Below are 22,222 nucleotides of genomic sequence, written 5' to 3'. Positions count from 1 at the left end.
AAAAGATTAAAAAAATTTGGTCGGTATATGGAATAAAAAATATATTATTTTAAAATAATGCCAATGGAAATTAAATTCTCTAACATGAAACAGACTTATGGTAAAATGGCTAACTTTTGCTGAAGTAAGCAAGTTAAAATAATTCTGCTAGTGTTCTTCTATTCCAGAACTGGGCAGAGTCAAAACCTGAGTGTTTGCTAAGTTTATCATGAAAGTGAACCTCAGGTATCAGGATTTTCCCCATAATGTAAACTTCCTTCTCCCAAACACACAAGGAGAAACACGTCAGTGAGGAGTGAATAAAAGGTCTAAAGAATGGAACTCAGAAAATTAGCCGGGCGTAGTGGCGGGCGCCTGTAGTCCCAGCTACTTGGGAGGCTGAGGCAGGAGAATGGCGTGAACCCGGGAGGCGGAGCTTGCAGTGAGCCGAGATCCCGCCACTGCACTCCAGCCTGGGCGACAGAGCGAGACTCCGTCTCAAAAAAAAAAAAAAAAAAAAAAAAAAAAGAATGGAACTCAGTCAGAAATCAGGTGGCCTTAATCCAGAGAATTAGTAGCCAGAGAATTGGCATATTATTTAGGTACATACTGTTACACAGATGATTTTTATCTGTTCACCTAAAAGTATTAGTACTCACTCAGATCATTTTAAAGATTGTGTGGCCCCTAGCTCCCTTTCTCCTTGAAGCCATTGCCTCTCTTCAATTGCCTCACTTGGAAGAATTACTAGGGTTTCCTGGAAGAAGTGTAGCTAGAAAAAGGCCAAGGAACAGAAATGTTGAAGAGCTATTTGCTACATCTTTGGAGTACGAAATCAGGGGTTGGACTGTAACCATGATCTCTAATAAATTCCTGGGGGTAGGTATTAGTGTCAGTAATAGATGTTTATTTAAAGAAGATTTGATATGACACCAAGGGAAAGACAACATTGAGCTTCAAGATAAAATAAAAATTGATATATGAGATAAAGTGTATGTAGCCAGAATTTTTGATTCTAGTAATTACAGGCTAGAGAATTTTGAAAAACTATTCTATCCAGGAAAAACTAAAAAGTACCAAACAACTTTTAAGGAGACAAACAATTATGAGACTAAAATCCTGGAGTAGATGAGAATTCAAAGAGGTAGGTTCAAGTCATAGTGATAATTTGCCTATAGAATTCTCCCATTGGAAAATTCCCAGGACCTTCTGGGGGATGGATTAAATGGCTGCTGTCATTGCTTAAAAAAGTGTCTTGACCTTGATGGAGCTTATGTTGAGAAATAAAATTTGTATATATTTTGTAAAAAGCAATGAGCTTTCATGTTGATGGTTTTAAGGAACTATGAAGACGGAAGTTAAAGCAATGTCACCTGAGGTGGAGAGTCTGTCTGTTAAACTGATCCTCTGAATAGCTATATTTTCATGGGTGTCTTTAACTGCAAGTAAACGTCTTATGTGAACTTGCAGCAAGTTGCTCAATTGGAAAATCTTCTCAGACTGGTAAGGGGCTCTAGACAAATGACAGAAGTAAACAACAATGCTGTCAGTAAGAATGAAGCCTTCTTCTAAGCCTCAAATTATTCGTATAGATAATTTTTCAAACACAAAGTTAACTGAGCACACACAGCAACAAAATATTAATTAGAAAGAAGCAGCAGAAAGAACAAAAGCAGATTGGAATGGTCAGACATTTTAAAAATGAACTTATTCACTATGTTTGCAGAATGGGAGAAAATATTTGCAAACTATGCATCTGACTATGGTCTGATAACCAGAATCTACAAGAAAATTAAATCAACAAGCAAAAAACAAATAACCCTGTTAAACAGCAGCAAAGGACATGAACAGATACTTCTCAAAAGAAGACCTAGAAGTGACCAACAAACATCTGAAAAAATGCTCATCATCAGGAATCGTTAGAGAAATGCAAGTCAAAACCACAATGAGATACCACCTCACACTAGACAAAATGGTTATGATTAAAAAGTCAAAAAATAACAGATGCTAGTGAGGCTGCTTAGTAAAGGGAACACAGACACTGTTGGTAGGAATGTAAATTGGTTTATCCATTGTGGAAAGCAGTTTGGAGAGTTCTCAAAGAACTGAAAATAGAACTATCATTCGACCCAGCAATCCCATTACTGGGAAATCCCATTACCAAAGGAAAATAAATCATTGTACCCAAAAGACATTTGCATCCGTATGTTCATCGCAGCAGTATTCTCAGTAACAAAGACATGGAATCAATCCAGGTGCTCATCCACAGTGGACTGTTTAAAGAACATGTGGTACATATATACCATGGAATACTACACAGCCATAAAAAAGAACAAAATCATCATGTCCTTTGCAGCAACATGGATGCAGCTGGAGGCCATTCTCCTAAGTGAACTAACACAGGAACAGAAAACCAAACACTGCGTGTTCTTACTTATAAGTGGGAGCTAAACACTGGGTATGCATGGACATAAAGATAGGAACTGTAGGCCCTGGAGAGTACAATAGGAGGCAGGGAGGGGTGCAAGGGCTGAAAAATTACCTACTGGGTACTATACTCATTACCTGGGTGGCACTAGATTTGAAAAATAACCAAACAGAGGTTTTAGAACTAAAAACAAAGCAATAAGAAAAAAATGAGATCTCAATCGATGGGTTGATGACCAAATTAAACACTGCTGAAAAGAGCATTAGTAAATAGAAAGACAGGTCAGAAGTTACATAGACTCTTTCTACTCAAAGTATAATCCATGGACCAGCAGACAAACTAGTGGCCATGTTAGAAATGTAGAAATTCAGGTTTCACCCCAGGCTTAAGTCAGAATTTGCACTTTACAAGATTGTAGGTGATTTATATGCATATTTAAGTGTAAAAAGCATTAATCTAAAAGGTGTCATAAAGGGACACAATGGTAGGAATTACAGAAGATAGGGTCAAATACATGGAGGACACAGAAAGAAGGCCTAATAGGTATTTGAGTCCCAGAAAGAAAATAGGATAGAGACATTATTTGAGATGAAAATGGCTGAGAATTTTCTAGAAGAAATGAAAGGCACCACTTTATGGCTTTAAGGAGACCCAAAAATCTTAAGATAATTAAACAGAAATCCATACCTAGCCATATCATAATATACAGCTACAGAAAACCAAAGTTAAAAAATATAATCTTAAAGACAGCCAGAATATCAAAGTTAATAGAAACAAAAAGTAGCAATGAGTTGACTCAGATGAGTAAATATCTTTTCTTCACACGTAGTTTGAGTTGTTTATCTGGTTTGTTTTAGAGGCACTTCCTGACCACTGAAAAGTAAGTTGGTATGTTATTCACATAAGAACTGGATTCAAAGTGCCTGGGTTCAAAGCCTCATCCATGATTAACTAGCTGAATAGCATTGAGTCATTTACTTCGCTTTTTATACTGCTAACAATACCTTCCTCAAAGCTTATATGATGATTAGATGAGGCAGTGCGGATAAAGCACTTATCATAGTGATGGACACATAAATGTTAAGTATTATAAATATTATTTTTGTAGCATATTTTAAACAATATTTATTTGCATTTTATAGCACAGATTTTTATAGGTCATTCTGTAAAGAGTCAAACATATTTTTTTCAATTTGCACATTAATGTATTATATTATTGATAAGGGATATGAACACATTCAATATGTTCTTGATGTACATGTGAAAAGTGATTTGAAAACTAAAACTCCCCACAAAAATCCTAGTTGTAATTTAATTTATGCCGCATAAAAATTGCATGGGGTATGAATTAATATGCTCATTGTGTAGGCGACAATCAAAAAAGCTTACATCACACGTACCATGTCCTGTTAGAAGTGCTATAAATGTATTATCTCATTTCACAACAACCTTATGATATAGTTACAGCTATAATCTTCATTTTACAGGAAGAAAACTGAAGCCCAGAAAGCTTAATATATTACCCAAAGAGTTAGTCCACATTGAACTGGGAGTTAATCCTTGTCTGTCTGGCTGGAAAGCTTTTGCTCTGTATCTTGGATGAATAAACTAAACCTTAGGGAATCTTCCTAGAAGTAAGTGAAACTGGGATTTGATTTCAGTGCTTTCTGTATTCCAGGAATGTCCTTGTATGCTGCTCATATAGAAGTTTATAAATGGTTGCAATGCATCTATTTAGATCTTGCAAAAAGTATTACATAAAATAGTACTAAAAATTAGCAATTCAAACCCTTTAAGTTGTTATATACCTATTTCTCCCCTCCACACACATTTCTTTTGTTTCTTAGATTATGTTTTTCTTCCAAATATGAGTGAGTAGCCTCTGTAAAATTTCTTTTAACAAAATCTGAAAATAGATATGAATTAGATAGGTAAGAGCCTCACAGTGAAATCTGAATATTGGAGCCATACTGCTTCTTGAGGGATGATAGAATTTCTATGTAAAACAATCTTAAAATACTGTTTTCAAAGTAGTTTTAAGATTATTTCAAAGAGCCAGAGAGGAAAGATTAAAATGGCCATTGATCCAATATTTATAACACTCTACTCTGGGTAGGCATGTAATTGTAAACTTTATAATGGTTGGAGTATTAAAAAAGAATAAGAGAGAACATGTTGGAGGTGGGCAAAAGATACAAATTTTACTGAAATAAGAAGCATCTGTTAAGATATTTAGAGAAATAGCAAGAATGTAACAAAAGGACAAAAAGGAATCAAGTTGGAGATGTTTTAATGATGTGAAATGCTGCTGAGGCACTTTTCTTGTTTATGATTGCCAGCTTTCTTATTCATTAAGTAAGTTCTTATTTCTGACAGTGGATGATGCTTCATTATCCTCAAATGGCAGGGATGGCATCAAGCCTGACGTGTCCTGGGCAGTGAGAAAGTTGTCTGATTCCAGAAAGCTAGTTAGGCCCTCCCAGGCAGTCATCAAACCATTAAAGAATGGGAAAAAGCAATACTTTCTGCTCTAGTTGGCATCTATTTTGCTTATCCTGAAAGAAAAAATGTTAGCTGCATTATAATCTGACTTGGCCTTTATTTAACGTTTGTGAGGAGAAAAATGACAATAGCGTTAGTGGTAAGCATAATTGATAGATCTGATAACTTTCTCTTTGCAGTTTTTTTTTTTCCAAGTCATTAGTGAACAAGAGCCCTTAGGACAAAATACTGGGGTAAAAATTCAAAATGGCAATGATTCATAAAATTTGTTTCTTGTAAAAAAGCCATGGTTTCGCAGAGCTCTCGTTTTACTTTCATTTATGCCTACTTAGCACTCTATTGTTGAAACATGGTTTTGAAGGCAAATACTCCTAGTATCAAGACACTTAAATATGGCCAAAGAAGAATAGCAACAACTTATTTCTAATTTACTCTTTACATGACTCATGGGGTCTAAATTTTGAAGGTAAAAAAGACAGGGTTAAGTAACAGTCACCCAAAGGACTTAGTTAACTTGTTCACATGTACTTATCTCAGTGAGCATCTATTATAAACTAGGCACACTGCCATGCACTGAGAGGAAAATGACAAATTAAACATATAACTCCTAACATAAGATAACTCACAGAAAAATAGGGGAACTATTCTCATAGCAGAAGCAAGTGGGAGCCCTGTAATTTTTTAGGTAATAGATGCTTGATGTACCATAAATACTCTCTTCTCTTCCCCCTAAAAAGGCAGTAATTTCTGCTAAGTGTTGAAGCAGAGAGAAGGAGGTTCTGAACACGTAAAGGTAGACTAAAGTAAGCCATTGAGTTGAGGCATGAGATGAGGTTACAACAAAAGTATGTAGGTGCACCAACAGTCATAACAAAAGGAAGAAGCAATCAACTCTCCAAGAGGGGACTAAAAAGGTAGAAAAGACTTCATAAAGAAAGAGGTGTCTCCTGCTGGTTGGCTGAAGGATGATTAGGAAGGCATTTGCCAGGCAAGCAAGGTGACCTGGGAAGACATTTGAAGCACAAAGCAAGAGCTTAAGGCAGGAGGAACATCTGGAGTTCAAGGCAGAATGAGCAGTTAGGAATGGCAGGAGCAGAGGAAGTCAAGGGGATTAGTGGGCAGAAGGTTAGAGAAATCACATAGGGGACTCCAAAGACCTGTCTGGTTTTGAACAATAGATAGTGGACATATGTTCATTTTTAAATGGATGTTTAAGAGGCAACTACAGTCAAGGTAGGTGTAGTATGTTAAAAAGCTATTATGTTTTGTATTTTAGAAAGAGAAAGATTATTTTCATGCATCCTCTCAAACACTATTCTGTCCTTCAGATTTTCCTGCAAATTCAGTCTACCTAGTCTTCAGGACTCATACCCCAAAAGTGTCCCCTGGTTATCCCATCTTACACTTTCCTCCCTTCTCTGAACTCCTAATTGTGTGAGGATTTCCTTTGGCACTTCAGCATCCTAGAACTTTTAAACAGGCTTTATGTTTCTAGATCAAGAAAATAAGGCCCAGAGAGATGAAATCACTTGCTGAGGATTTTTAACATTCTGCCTTATATTTCTAGTTAACCTTTTATGTGTATAAATCTTTACTCCCCAACTAGATAGTAAACAAATTAAAGGCTGACTTCCATTTTATCAATTCCTACTTTCCCCTCTACATCTTGACTAATTGCCCAGATAATAGGTTCTCAATATAAGTTTGCAGATTGATTAGCATTGCTTTCTGGAATACATTTCCCTTTAAGAAAAAATTAAAAAAAAAAAACTTTTGGGCACTCACTCAGAAAAAAAAAAAAACGCTAATGTTTATTGTACATTTTTTTTTTTTTTAAAAAACCACCACACTTTAGTCTGCCTTTCTGCCTTCAGAACCTCCTTCTCTCTGTTTTGACACTTAACAGAAACCATTGTCTTCTGTGGGAAAAGAAGAGAGTATTTATGATACATCAAGCATCCACTACCTAGAAAATTATAGGGCTCCCATTTGCTTCTGCTGTGAAATGCCAAGATCACAAACATGACTTCAAGACCATCCATTATCCACCTGTAGATTGCTGTCAGGTTTGCAATCTCTTGCTTTCACACGTATTGAATTTCATTTGATCATTTCTACATCTCAACCCTGTTTCCAAACTGTTGAGGAGTATTTCTGAATCTGTCATGTCGTTTTTCCTAACCGAACTCTCCTTCTTCAAAAACCTTGACTCTACTGTATGTCTATGCTCTTCTCAAGGGATTTATTTTACATGAAACTAGCTCCTCCCAGCCTGTATTTCATTACAGATATGAAAATATCTCTGTGATATGAGTTTTGCATGTGTAGCTACCTTGTTCTCTAATATTAAACTCCTTGAAATGAGAGATTAACAACAACAACAACAACAAAACACTACATAGTGGTATTGGAAGAATTATTCTTTTTGGACCTTAACTTCCACAACTTCAGTGTTTGTTTTTGTTTACTTTCCTAATTTAGCTTGCTCCTAAGAGGTTAGTTAAGAGGTTTCCAACCCTGCAGGTAAAGACCTGGAATCCACATTGTTTTTTCTTGCTAGGTGCTAATATTTATTCTATCTTCTCAAACATGAACATATAGCACTTTCTTGAGAAAAAGCTTCTATTTTGAAGAATTAATCCTCAAATGTAGGTGGATATTGATAAATAGAAATTAAGTCAAATGTTTTCTCCAAGAGGAAGTAAATGACGCTTCTGCAAGGGCTTCCTTTGTTTCATTGACCAGACTCTTAGTTTTAGATGGACAGACCTGGATACCTGACATTGCCATTCAGTTAGAGTATCCCATACCTCAGTGGCTGACTCAAATTACACAAGCTCACAGACCAATACATAAAACCAGAATGCCTATTTATTGATTTATGATGGGAAAAATAGCTGTTACACGGACTGGAATACTAATGTCAACTTTCCATTCCAGGAAACCATATAACGCCTCCTGTACGAGAAGTTAAATTACAACACAAAGATTGCTTGGTGAGCATGTGATCAAAACAGGGCAAGATGAAGACCTTTAGAGGCCACAAGCATTTTAGTGTGCCTCCCAACTTCCCTTATATTATTCAAAATATAAACAATAAAATCTACAAAGATGTGAAAGAAGTCCAACAAAAGCTTTATTTTTTTTATGATGAATACTTTTAAAACTTCATTGAAATATCAAATATCATATTCTTTTAAAACGATTTTTTTTTCTTTTTGCAATTTGTTTTGTTGGTATCCAAAATACACAGTTTTTCTGCTGGGCTCCGAACAAGAGGAGTTAATTTTAGTCCTTAGAGTTTTGACTGCAACAAGCCTAAATGAAACCTTCATAAAGGAGACTAAAACTCTCTCCTTTAGATCCTATTTGAGTATATGCTGCTAAGTTTCGTAAAGTGGCTCTTCTCTGTGCTTCCATAGACTAGTTGGTCCCTTTCTGACTGACACATTCTTTCCTTAAGTGGGTTAATGCATTTAATCAATTTACAGCCAAGAAAAGCTCATCTGAGAATATTCTGTCTAAGGAAAATTTGCATATCTCTGATCTGCTTCATCGTGCATGAATCTCATAATGTGGAACTCACACAGAGGGTAGCCAAATGCCCACCTCAGCCCCATAGCCATCACCACTGAAAAGGTGAGAAAATCATCTATATCCCCATATCATTACCACAGGCCAGGCCAAAAGATCTGTTTGGAACAACTGTTCCTATCTGCAGATATTATACAGGATGGGGTCAAATTTCTATCAGCCTGGGCACAACTACAGTCAACAGCATAAATGACCACCAGCCTGAGGGTGAGATTTTATGCAGAGTGTCTTAAATAATTAAAAAGATACTTATGGAATGAATAAATGAAAAACTTTTGAGGAAGCATTGCAAAAGGCTTCAAATAATAGAGACAGTTAAATAACTGTAATTTTTATGCACTGCACTTTTAATGACAGATAAAATGATAGACTTAAGAAAGGCTGAGGACTTCCTCCTACAAAATGCTTGTTAATTACACAGGGAATAGTCATAACTTCATTTTGGAAAAACTCAGCACACACCACTTCAACCAAGTAAAATCATCAGTTTGGAGACACTTGAACCATATTCCTCCCAATATGATATACTGAGAAGGAAACAATATAACTTTGGTGAAAGTCTTGCCCAAAATGCATAACCTCAGTCTAGTCATGAGAAAACATCAGACAAACCCAAATTCAGGGCCATTCTATAGAATCCCTGGCTCTTAAAAAAAGCATCAACTTCATGAAATGCAAAGGAAGACTGACAAAAGAAGAATAAGGAAGAGCAAGGAACCATGACAGTCCAATGAAATTGCAACCCTGGACGGATCCTGAACTAGAAAAAAGCATATTAGTGAGAAAATTGGTTAAATTCAAATAAGGTTTTATCATTGCAAAGACCAACAGGATGTCTTAATAGTAGAAAAGAGAGTTTTATTGATTATATCAGTTTGCAAACTAAGAAGATACAGTCTCTAGCGTGGATCAAATGGGCTCTCTCTTCACGAAGAGAAAGCGTAGGTTGAGTTTTACGCCTCACATGCCCTGTATAACACATTACGGTCATATATATTCAGCAGTTTTGGGGGAAAAGCTATACGTACTTATGAGAGGAAACAAGCGCATGGGCAATAGGTAAACATATATGTAATGTAAATCCCATGTTTAGTTTGAGGTGGGGTTTTAGCATTAAAATGAAATCAGGTTTGGCTCTTTACATCAAAAGGTGAACTATAAGACACAAAGACAGTTTGTGCACAGTCCCTATAAGCTGACTGAAACTGGCTTGAAGATTACAGTTACTTATCAAAAAAAGAATGTTTGTGGCTGAGCGCAGTCACTCACTCCTGTAAAGCACTTTGGGAGGCCAAGATGGGCAGATCACTTCAGGTCCGGAGTTCGGGACCATCCAGGCCAACATGGTGAAACCCTGTCTCTACTAAAAATACAAAAATTAGGCTGGATGTGGTGGCTCATGCCTGTAATCCCAGCACTTTGGGAGGCTGAGTCGGGCAGATCATGAGGTCAAGAGTTCGAAACCAGCCTGGCCAGCATGGCGAAACCGTGTCTCTACTAAAAATACAAAAATTAGCCTGGCATGGTGGCACACGCCTATAATCCCAGCTACTCAGGAGGCTGAGGCAGGTAAATCACTTGAACCTGGGTGGTGGAGGTTGTAGTGAGCTGAGATTGTACCACTGCACTCCAGAGCGAGACTCCATCTCAAAAAAAAAAATTAGCCGGACTTGGTGGTGACATCTGTAATCTCAGCTGTATGGGAGGCTGAGGCAGAAGAATTGCTTGAATTTCGGAGGTGGAGGTTGCAGTGAGCCAAGATCACACTACTGCACCCCAGACTGGGCAACAGAGCAAGATTGCATCTAAAAAAAAAAAAAATAGAGAGAAAGAGTGTTTTGTAAGTCCTGTCCTTTGTCCAGTTAGAGTTGTAGTGACCTGGGTTATAAATCAGAGTTAGGAAGGGTTTCACAATTTACCTGATAACCTATTGTTAGGGAGTGTAGCAAGGATGTGGTTTTTCCTGTAGCCATAGGATTTTAGAGATTTGCCATGCTAGCCAAGCCCCAAACCCTTGGCCTGTAGGTAACTTTTGTTGTCTTAATGGAAGGGTCTCCACTGATTGACAAAGGGAAGTCTATTTTAGTCTCTCAGATCACAGTTTGTAGATTATATTTATTGAATCAATGTTAATTTTGTATACTTTAATTGCATTATGGTTGTCTAAGACGTTAACATTAAAAGAAGCTGGATGAAGTATATAATGGGAACTCTTTTTACTATTAATGTTTTTTTGTTTTTGTATATCTAGAATTGTTTCCAAATAAGTATAGAATGAAAGAATAAGGCAAATTTCATTGGTAAAGAAGCTTTGCAGTGTATAACTTGAGTAAATATATCTAAATTTTTTTCGATATATCATCTGAATGATGTTTAAAATCTGTCATAGATTCATGTCACAAGCCATTCCTACCCAGTACACTGCAGTAGCTTCTGGAAGCCTTTTTACACCTCCACTCTTTCAGAGTTGTCATATGCAATTAATATTTTCATAATGTAGCTTTCAAATTGTGACTAAAATGCACATGATTAAAACAAATCAATGACTACTAATTGTTTTTTATGGAAAGTAAGCTCCTCCTGTCTCAGCTTCAGCCATTCACTAGCCTTCATCTCTAAATGCATTCATTTGGACTCCTATAGAAATTTACTAGATAGTCCTTTCTTACCCCTAAATACTGTGTCTTTAAGAATATTTAGGTTAAAATTTTTGACAAGATCTTTTGGCTTTCTTCCATGATAAACAGATTACTTTCACCTTTTTACACCACATCTTATATTTCCTACCCTACGTTCCAATAAAATTATATCCCTATTTAGTTAAATCAGTAAACCAAGAGTAGAATACAGTATTATTATTATGTATGTAATTGTCTGATTCACTTCAGAAATAAGTTGTGTATCATGCTTTTTTCTTTCCTTTCTTTTTGTACAAGTTTTTGTTTTTCTTAAATTTTCCATAGGCTTTTATTTTTTCTTATGTTGTATCCTTAGTCTCTTCACTCAAACATTTGATCAGGTATGTTACTGCTCTTTCTTTATTCAGGAGACCTCTACCCAGAACTATGAGTTCTCCTTCTGCAGTCTGGGATGCTTTCTCTCTACACCTTCGGCACAACGCTCTTCCTGGAGCTTCCTTTCCCTGCCTTCTTAAAGACACTGAATCCACTGACTCCTAAATCTCATAACACTGCATCTGAGTAATGATTCAATTGGGTATAAAGTTATAGGTTGAGAATATTTTTCTCTTTGTCCTTTGAAGAAATTATTCCACTGTCTTCTAGTACGCAGTATTACTGCTCCCATTTTTATTCTTCTTTAGGAAATGTCCTCCCGCCCACAGCCTTCTCTACCTCTAAGGTTAAAAGATTCCCCTGTCCTTAGATGTCCTGAAATTTTAGAGTTATGCATGTAGGTATATTTATTAATTATGTTTGGTACTTGGTTCCATCATTCAATCTGGAGAAGAATGTTTTTTCTTTTGTTATTTCATAGTATAATTCTCTCCATTCCTTTGTTCTCCTTTTCTGGAATTCCTGTTAGAAGTTATAACTCTTAGAATGCTATGTATTCCTTTTAAAAAATCCCCCTTCCCAAACTTTTAAGGTAATTAACTTGATTTAATTCTTTGTTCTGATTAATTTGTTATTCTGGTGATTATTTTTATTTTTTCAGAAACCCTTTGGTTTCCTTCAGTTTATTTCATGTGGCAGAATCATTTTAATTTATGGATAAAATATCTTCTTGGATCATGCCAGTCTCAACTGGATTTTTTTTTTTCCTAAGCTCTCGGTGTTCCTTAATGTGTCTGTTTAGGGAGGAGTCATTCTTTCTTTTTTGTTGATGTTAAATATGTTTTAAAGTGTAGGTTTTCATCAAATATCAGGGGATAGTTGCTTATCTGATTATATTTTAAAAGGAAGCAGTAAAAAAGAAGCTGATTGAGAAATGTATGTACCATTTGCAGTTCTTGGACACTGATGGGGTTGCCACAGCATGTGTAAGCAAGAAACCATTCATCATGTTGTGTGTCTCTACAATGCTAGATTACGAAGGTCTTTCTTTTCTTTTTACACCAGTTCATATTTCTTTAAACTTTTTTTTTCTATTTGCTTATGATAAGACAGCTGTGAAAAACTATGTCTGAAGTGTTAAGCAATTTAACTGTGGTTAAATTAACAGCAAATCCTATTTTCAGTTTCAATAGTGAGCTCTCGTTTTAGTGAAGCACTGTTCTTACTCCAGTTTTCCAGAGTACCTTCTTACACTAATGAATGTTGGTGATCTCCATGGTTTTAGCAATCTGATTGTCTCTCTCAGTCACTCCTCTTTGGGATATTGTCTAGGCTGCATCTTCCTCCACCTCCTTCAACGGTTACATTTCCCCATTTTTATCTTTATTGTCTAAAAATATGTTGAAATCTCTTTTATCAATAGCTCCCTTATCATTCTCTACCCCATTGTTATAACACCTGTATCCCTTTACTATCCTCTCTCTTATTTAATCCAGTTTAAAAGGGGAGAAAATTTGCCCTTCTGGGTAATAACAAAAAGAATCGTTTGTGGCAAAGCATCTGAATCATAGGGAGAAGTAGACTTGGCTGAAAACTGAAACAAAACAAACTGAAAGCTATTGAAAAACATAGTGATTCTTAAACTCTCATGTGCATTAGGATAATCTGGAGATCTTTTTTGAAAAAAAAAGTCCACACCCAGTTCCAGACCTACAAAGAAAGAATATTCAAGATTTTAGCCTTTTTTATGCTTACTTTTAAGTTGAAAAATAGTACGTATTTGCATATCACTTCAAAACAATTTTTGGTGACCATCATTTGTTATCTCACTAAGCACATACTTGGTCTAGTGGACTTAAGGCAAGCAGAAGTTACTCGAAGGCAGTAGAGTAACGTGACGTCTTTGGCGTTTTACCACCAAATAAAATAAGCGTAGACAGAGAAGTAATGATTTTTACCTGTTACCAAACTTAATTGCTTAACAGGGAGTGTGCACATCTTCATTTTTCAGTCACTATTCTCCTCAAAAAAATCACTATTTCTCCTCAAAAGGCTCGTGCAGCCTCAATATGAACCCAAGAAGGATCCATCTCTCTTTCACCCATTTGGAATGTTGCTTTTCAGGTTCCAGGGGAAAACTCAATCTCAAAAGCCGTAACCCATCCTGACCTTTGTGTCCTGGCACAACATCCTAGGGTACCTGTGTGAAGATGGATATTGGTCATGACATCTGTCAAGAAAAATAATAAAATAATCCAAATATCGAGACCTCAAAATAGAAAATTAATGAATTTCAGATACGTGAAGTTCTTATTTAAATCAGATCAGTTTTCTTTCCCTTCCTTTAAGGAAAGCCAAGTTATATGAAGCATATGATATTAAGGCTTTTAAGTTGAAAAATAGTATATATTTGCATAGTACTTTATAACATGGTTGTAAAATATGCTACTTGATTTAAACATTAAAAATAACTTTGAGATAATAAGGACAAATTTTTTAAAGTTATTTTCATTTTACAGATCTGGAAACCAAGGCTCATACACTTACTTTTTTTCCAAGATCACGTACATTTTGAAGTGTAATATTGTAACTCAAGGTCAAGTATTCTGTCTTTAAATTCTATGCTCTGTCCATCATTTAACATTGACTCAAATTCATCAGTCAGAAAATAAACTCATCCTTTTAGTTCTCTGCCAGTTTTGGTGACCTTCCCATGACCCTGCTGGCAATGAATTAGGCTATAGAAAGTACCACACTATCAGGCAGACATTTGGGTCCAAGGTTTCTAAATATGATGGAGCTTAGAGGATCAAGCTCATAATTAATTATAGAACTTGTGGAGGGTCAGTTCATCTATTTAAAAATGCCTGATTAGTGTTCTGCAGATTCCATTTATATGAGGCTCTTAGCAATAATTCCCAATTCCTGTTTGGAATCCCAATTTTCTTTCTTTCTTTCTTTCTTTCTTTATTTATTTTTTATTATTATTATACTTTAAGTTTTAGGATACATGTGCACAATGTGCAGGTTAGTTACATATGTATACATGTGCCATGCTGGTGTGCTGCACCCACTAACTCATCATCTAGCATTAGGTATATCTCCTAATGCTATCCCTCCCCCCTCCCCCCACCCCACAACAGTCCCCAGAGTGTGATGTTCCCCTTCCTGTGTCCATGTGTTCTCATTGTTCAATTCCCACCTATGAGTGAGAATATGCAGTGTTTGGTTTTTTGTTCTTGCGATAGTTTACTGAGAATGATGATTTCCAATTTCATCCATGTCCCTACAAAGGACATGAACTCATCATTTTTTATGGCTGCATAGTATTCCATGGTGTATATGTGCCACATTTTCTTAATCCAGTCTATCATTGTTGGACATTTCGGTTGGTTCCAAGTCTTTGCTGTTGTGAATAGTGCCGCAATAAACATACGTGTGCATGTGTCCTTATAGCAGCATGATTTATTGTCCTTTGGGTATATACCCAGTAATGGGATGGCCGGGTCAAATGGTATTTCTAGTTCTAGATCCCTGAGGAATCGCCACACTGACTTCCACAAGGGTTGAACTAGTTTCCAGTCCCACCAACAGTGTAAAAGTGTTCCTATTTCTCCACATCCTCTCCAGCACCTGTTGTTTCCTGACTTTTTAATGATCGCCATTCTAACTGGTGTGAGATGGTATCTCATAGTGGTTTTGATTTGCATTTCTCTGATGGCCAGTGATGGTGAGCATTTTTTCATGTGTTTTTTGGCTGCATAAATGTCTTCTTTTGAGAAGTGTCTGTTCATGTCCTTCACCCACTTTTTGATGGGGTTGTTTGTTTTTTTCTTGTAAATTTGTTTGAGTTCATTGTAGATTCTGGATATTAGCCCTTTGTCAGATGAGTAGGTTGCGAAAATTTTCTCCCATTTTGTAGGTTGCCCGTTCACTCTGATGGTAGTTTCTTTTGCTGTGCAGAAGCTCTTTAGTTTAATTAGATCCCATTTGTCAATTTTGGCTTTTGTTGCCATTGCTTTTGGTGTTTTAGACATGAAGACTTTGCCCATGCCTGTGTCCTGAATGGTAATGCCTAGGTTTTCTTCTAGGGTGTTTATGGTTTTAGGTCTAACATTTAAGTCTTTAATCCATCTTGAATTGATTTTTGTATAAGGTGTAAGGAAGGGATCCAGTTTCAGCTTTCTACGTATGGCTAGCCAGTTTTCCCAGCACCATTTATTAAACAGGGAATCCTTTCACCATTGCTTGTTTTTCTCAGGTTTGTCAAAGATCAGATAGTTGTAGATATGCGGCGTTATTTCTGAGGGCTCTGTTCTGTTCCATTGATCTATATCTCTGTTTTGGTACCAGTACCACGCTGTTTTGGTTACTGTAGCCTTGTAGTATAGTTTGAAGTCAGGTAGTGTGATGCCTCCAGCTTTGTTCTTTTGGCTTAGGATTGACTTGGCGATGCGGGCTCTTTTTTGGTTCCATATGAACTTTAAAGTAGTTTTTTCCAATTCTGTGAAGAAAGTCATTGGTAGCTTGATGGGGATGGCATTGAATCTGTAAATTACCTTGGGCAGTATTGTCATTTTCACGATATTGATTCTTCCTACCCATGAGCATGGAATGGTCTTCCATTTCTTTGTATCCTCTTTTATTTCCTTGAGCAGTGGTTTGTAGTTCTCCTTGAAGAGGTCCTTCACATCCCTTGTAAGTTGGATTCCTAGGTATTTTATTCTCTTTGAAGCAATTGTGAATGGGAGTTCACTCATGATTTGACTCTCTGTTTGTCTGTTATTGGTGTATAAGAATGATTGCGATTTTTGTACATTGATTTTGTATCCTGAGACTCTGCTGAAGTTGCTTATCAGCTTAAGGAGATTTTGGGCTGAGACAATGGGGTTTTCTAGATATACAATCATGTCATCTGCAAACAGGGACAATTTGACTTGACTAAGCATTCTTTAAAGTACATTTATTGCTCAACATGGATAAAAAGACTTGTCTGAGGCCAAAATCTTAGTGAAAACAGAACCCAAATAAGTAAACACAGCACTGATGCTTACTTTTGCATTAGAGCCTTTAGCCAATTTTTGTTGATTTTGAGCTTTTATATGAGTGTCAGAGTATTGACTATACCTGCTTCAGTGACATATCCTTCTGCTCTGGAGACTAGTTCAAATCAAAATTAGAAATCTCTTACAGCAGGAACTGATTTGGAATCATGGTTGGATACTTTTGAGGTGACTTATGTCTATCATGCATGTTCCATGGAGCATCAGCTATGAAAAATGTTGACAGTTAGTACAGTGTTCAAACAGGCTAGAAAAATGCTGGTTTATACAAGGTTAAACAGTTTAAAGGATTTTGCCCTAAGAGACACTGTAGCTTTCCCAAAATAGCTTTCTCAAAAATTGCTTGATATGGAGCATTTCCCAAACTAACTAAACCAAAGAACCTGCTTTTTTTTATGATTAATCCTTTTTGGGTTGGTGTTCTTTGGAACACACTTTGAAAATGTTTATTTAGCCCAATCTTCTCATGCTACAGCTAAGACCACTGAAGCTCGGAGACCTTGTGACTGCTCCAGGTCATGTACATGATTAGTGGCTAAGCTGGGCCCTGGCCCACTGCTTTTCATCTTATCCTGTTGTCTTTCATTTTAGTTCAAGAAATCCCCTGTGACTCTTAGTTAGGGATATATAATATCTCTGCTTCTGGAGTCATAGATATAGCTCCTGCTTCTTGACCTGTATTCAGATGGTCTTTTTGGGGGGTATTGATTGCCTTTGATGTCAAGGGTACTTACAGCTTTCCAGTGAATAAAGTTCATGAAGTCCACCTAGTGAGCTTTGCAAGATGTAGAATCATATGTATGTGGGTCTCATCAAGAGGCTTGGCATATGGTTAATGTCAGGTTTGGCTAAAATGGTGCATTTTTTTCTTATTCTGCTGTGGGAAGAAAGGCAATAATATAATGTATCTGTTAGAATGGTTTAATAAGTTTGAATCTACTGGGGAGGTTGTTCAGTTCAGGTTACTCCTGTTCCCTGCAGTGGGAACCTGCTGGCAGAGTCCACTGCAGCCTAGACTAATCTGATCAGCCCAGTGCTCCAAAATATAGGACCCAGGGGACACAGACACTGTTTGGCATTATCCAGAACAGGTATACAGGCCACTACAGGCAGAGATGTTCTCAGTACTTCCTCAGAAGCATAATGCAGCTCTGATAGAGATTTTAGGGGAGTGAAAGGCTTTCCATGGTTTCTCTTGTCTCTCTTATAAAAATAACAGCTGGCTGGGCATGGTGGCTCATGCCTTGAATCCCAGCACTTTGGGAGGCCAAGGCGGGTGGATAACTTGAGGTCAGGAATTTGAGACTAGCCTGGCCAACATCGTGAAACCTTGTCTCTGCTAATCATACAAAAATTAGCTAGGTGTGGTGGCACACATCTGTAATCCCAGCTACTTGGGAGGCCGAGGCAGGAGAATCACTTGAACCCAGGAGGTGGAGGTTGCAGTGAGCTGAGACTGTGCCACTGCACTCCAGCCTGGGTGAGAGAGTGAGACTCCATCTCAAAAAAAAAAAAAAAAAAATGGAAGCGTATATTGGGACACTTTCTTGTGGTAGAGATTGTAATTGGCACTTTGTTTAATTTAGCTCATTTAATCTTCACAACAATAATGTGTACCATTATTCCCTTTTCCTACATGGGCAAATTGAGGCTCAGAAAAGGTATTCAACTTACCCCATGGCCTCTAGCAAAAAGTAGGAGAGTCCGTTCCAGAAATGTACAGTTTTAGCTCGTGTATTCTTCCACCTTGGAGACTGCATTGATCTATGCTAATTAGGGTCATTTCCTCAATAAGAAGACAAGAAATCAAAAGAAAATGAAATAAATTCAGTTGATAAACTTGATAGAAATTAATAGTGTATAGTAATGTGAACAAGCTATTCTTTGTAAGATAGCCATACATCTACCACTCACACAGTTACTCCATGCTAACCCTCAGAGAGATGTTGCAGTTTGATTTGCCAGATGAAAATTATAATGATTACATTGTATTCTCTTTTATGGAGGCAAATTGAAACCTTTTCCTTAAAAGGTTCTGCTTATTATCCTAGGAAATTGTCATGGAGAGATGCAGCTCTTTTTAAAGTCTTTGAAAATAAAAGCAAAAGTGCACCCATGCAAGCTTTAGCCTGAACAGGTAGAGTCAATTTTATTAACATATGAAGCCATATGTTTGGAGACTAGAGAAATAAGAGGACAATGAATCAATTGTCAGACTCGCATGGATAGCTGAGGGATGAAACATTTGGTATCAGCTGTATTTCTCAGATGCCCTGATTGTGTTGGGTGCACTTTCCATCAGTGAATAATAGAGTGGACACAGAGGGTAAAAACGTGGAGGTAGGATAGAGAATAATTTTTAAAGAGTGTAGCAGTTCCACAAAACTCAAGCAGAAGCACTGAGAGTTCTTAAAGAAAGGGTAAGATAAATGGCAACTTTGGGGTATTCTTAACTATAAGTGATACTCCCCTGCACACTGAGGACAGAATCAGGCTTAATAAATGCCATGACAATATATAACTTTGCCCTGGTTCTTTGGCTGCCTGGGTAGCAAATGAATCAATGTGAGATGCTCTCTAAAGACTCTCACAGTGCCTTATGCCTAATAGATTCAACAGATGAAGCCGAGGTGTTTAAGGACTGGGAACTGGTCCTCAGAAGGCTAGTTAAAATGGAGTGGCATGGTTTGCACTCTCCCCAGGACATTCGCATTTCAGAGAGAACAGTCTCTGGCTAGCAGGCAGGGTTAATGCTGTGGTAGAGTGTAGGGAAGGATGGTAATGGAAATGCATTTGAAACCCTGACATTGCGGGTAACTGAAAGGCACTGCATATGGCAAATGGCCAGTGTGAGGGGCCCTGAGGTCAGCCAGTAATAGCTGAGGAGGTTTTATAATAGAGAATAGTGGGTGAAATGGAGCAGATGGAGGCTGTATTAGGCACTGAGGTCACACGAGCCCTAAGGAGAGAAGTTGGCATGAATTATGCTGCCACATTGTAAGTGCAAATATGTGATTGCTTAGCCAATTAAAGAGGTAATGAATGAAGGATAGACTGGAAGGTAACACATCAAAGTTGCCAGAGTTATCATATGTCATTTAATCATGCTGATATTTCACAGGCAAGAAGAAGCTGATCAAAAGACAGCATGCAAAAAGACAGCTGTCAAAAGACATTGCAAAGAGCAAATATGTTGAAGTGAGGGAGAACTAACAATTTATGCAAAAATAACAGTGTGAGAAAGGGCAAATTATTTATCCCTCTGTATCTTTTTCCCCCTCATTTGTAAGTGAAGATTTTTATAACCGCAAATGTAACACAAATGGTCAGAAATAGAGGATTACTCTAAACTCAGTGCAGTTATTAAGCAATTATTATCAAATTGGAAATGTTTTTCATACAAAAGAATTAAATTATATTTGCCAGTATGTAAGATGTAATAAAAGCATATGAAAATGATGTCAAGGGCAAGATTTACTAACAAGGCAGAGGTGAAGGGCCTGGGTTCGAATTCCCATACATCTGTGATTGAATCCAAGTTTTTCCCTCACTAGCTGCCTGATGTTGACAGGCACCTACCTTTTACAAGTTTTATTTTACTTATCTCTAAAATGAAAATGATCCCTGCTCCTTCAGGCATTATGCGTTTGAAGTTAGATATGTCCGAAGCCCAGAACATACCCAAAGCACTGAGTAAAAGTTTGAGTGTGTGCCTTTTTTGTGACTCAGTTCCGTAAGAAAGTCTATGAGAGACAAGAAGTGGCCTAAGGCAGGTAGATACTGAGGTAGTAGGTAGAAGCATCTACTAGCACAAGAACCATAAAGGTGAGAAAATGTGGAGTGATGAGATGGAGAGTAAATATGAGCAACAGGCTCATATTGGTGTCATGTCATGAGAACATGACAGGACCTGTGATGGGAAGCATCATATTTGTGCTCATCTCTTACATTTCACCTTGAGAGGAAGGAAGTTGAGGCAGGTCTTTAAAGAAAGGAATGTCTGCTCAGGCCACTGAATGGGTAGGAGCAACCACTGAATGGTCTTAAGCTACTCTTGCACAGGGTCTTAAGCAACATGGAAATAAGGTTGATGGAAAATAAACATCAGTTTCAAAAAAAAAAGAGAGAAAGGAATGTCTGACATATTCCTTCACAAGTATCTCAGGACTCAAAATAACTCCCACTGATCCCCACCTCCCGATATACACACCCTTTAGAATCTTCTCTTGAGTGTGGGCTGGACCTAATGTCTTGTTTCTAATAAACAGAATATGGCAAAAGGGATGAAATATCACTTCCACAGTTAGGTTACAAAAGACTGAGACTTTCATTAATTTGGATGGAATTCTGTCTCTCTGGTTCTTCTAGTTGGATCATTCTTATGAAAGCAGCTGACATGTTGTGAATTACCCTATGGCTTTACGATTACAAATCCAGTTAGTGATAAAATTACTTCAAATTTGGAGTAAATGAAATACCATATTAATACTAAAATCTAACGTGTTAGGATATATGTTTAAAAGCTTTGTAAAAGTAAAGGATAGGCTACCATTTATATCTTTAAAAGTTTGGTTTGTAATACCTATGCCAATAGGCTCTTGCAAGCACTAAATAAACTAATGTATATAAAAGTGTATAGAATGAGACACTGTTTGTCACTGTTCTTTTTTAACTGTATGACATTCAGGTTTTTCGTAACAACATTTCACTGGAAGTCAGAAGTATGACTGTACTTAAAAATCAACCCCCATTCTCCTGTCTCTGCCACAGTTTGCCTTGAAACCAAGCAATGTTTACAGTACACCACACTGAATAGTAGAGGGGGAAAAATCTGACACTAGGAAGAAAAATTTCTCAACTCAAACTTCCATAAAATTGACATAAATTTCCAGAAATGCTCATAGATTATGTAAATTTATTTTCATTTTACTTGTTTTTTTATGTTAAACTGAGTTATAATTTTTCAGAATATAAGAAAAAGTTTTAAAAATATGTTTTAAAAAAGTTTTAAAAAGATGCTGCATATTCAACTACTATTTTGACCCTTTTGGAAGTCAAAGACTAGTAAAAATGGGAGAAAACTCAGTATTGTTCATGGAACACGTATCAGGGATCAGTTTTGAATAAGATTTATCAAGCAGAGGATTGTGACCTAAAAGTAAGCCATAGAGATGGTAGCTCCCCACTTATCTAAAGGCTCAAAGTAGCCAACTATTTTCATTCAATAAATATTCTTTCAAAGGTGTTCCAATACCATTTCAGGGGCTTGGGTTACATCAATGATCAAAACAAAACCTCCTGCCCTTATGACAAATCATACATTCTAGTGGGGCAGAAATTAAACATTAAACAATAAATAATAAGTCATATGGTATTAGAAGTAGTACGGCAGGTAATTGGGACATGTCTGTTTGTTTTTCCTTTGTGATTTTTTCCTTTGGGACATGTGGAGCTACTGAAGGGGTTATCACCTGTGACACTCAATTTCACTTGACGGTAGCATGACGTTATAAATGAAGTCCTGTGAACCTACTCATAGGGACTCCGGATATGGGTATTTTCTAGGTATGATAAAGTCATTATAGAAATAGATATAGTAATTGAAAATCTTTAAACATAAAATAATAATAATTTATTCTGAG

The 22,222-nt window shown here is 36.9% G+C and overlaps 1 long non-coding RNA gene across 3 annotated transcripts in view; it reads left to right on the top strand.

Moving 5' to 3' along the window:
• Nucleotides 1-8,037, top strand: part of LOC105369165 (uncharacterized) — a 486,292-nt gene extending 478,255 nt beyond the window's left edge. For 2 of the 3 annotated variants that reach the window (NR_187747.1, NR_187748.1), the window contains 2 exons: nt 3,895-4,041; nt 7,850-8,037. This is a non-coding gene — a long non-coding RNA (uncharacterized LOC105369165). Of the gene's footprint in view, nt 1-3,894; nt 4,042-6,815; nt 6,976-7,849 lie in introns of all 3 variants that reach the window. The other variant, NR_187749.1, reaches the window with a different exon arrangement.
• The last annotated feature ends 14,185 nt before the right edge of the window (nt 8,038-22,222 follow it).

This window comes from Homo sapiens, chromosome 2 (assembly GCF_000001405.40).
Source record: "Homo sapiens chromosome 2, GRCh38.p14 Primary Assembly".
Taxonomy (NCBI): Eukaryota; Metazoa; Chordata; class Mammalia; order Primates; family Hominidae; genus Homo; species Homo sapiens.
This window is presented reverse-complemented; position numbering and strand designations above follow the sequence as displayed.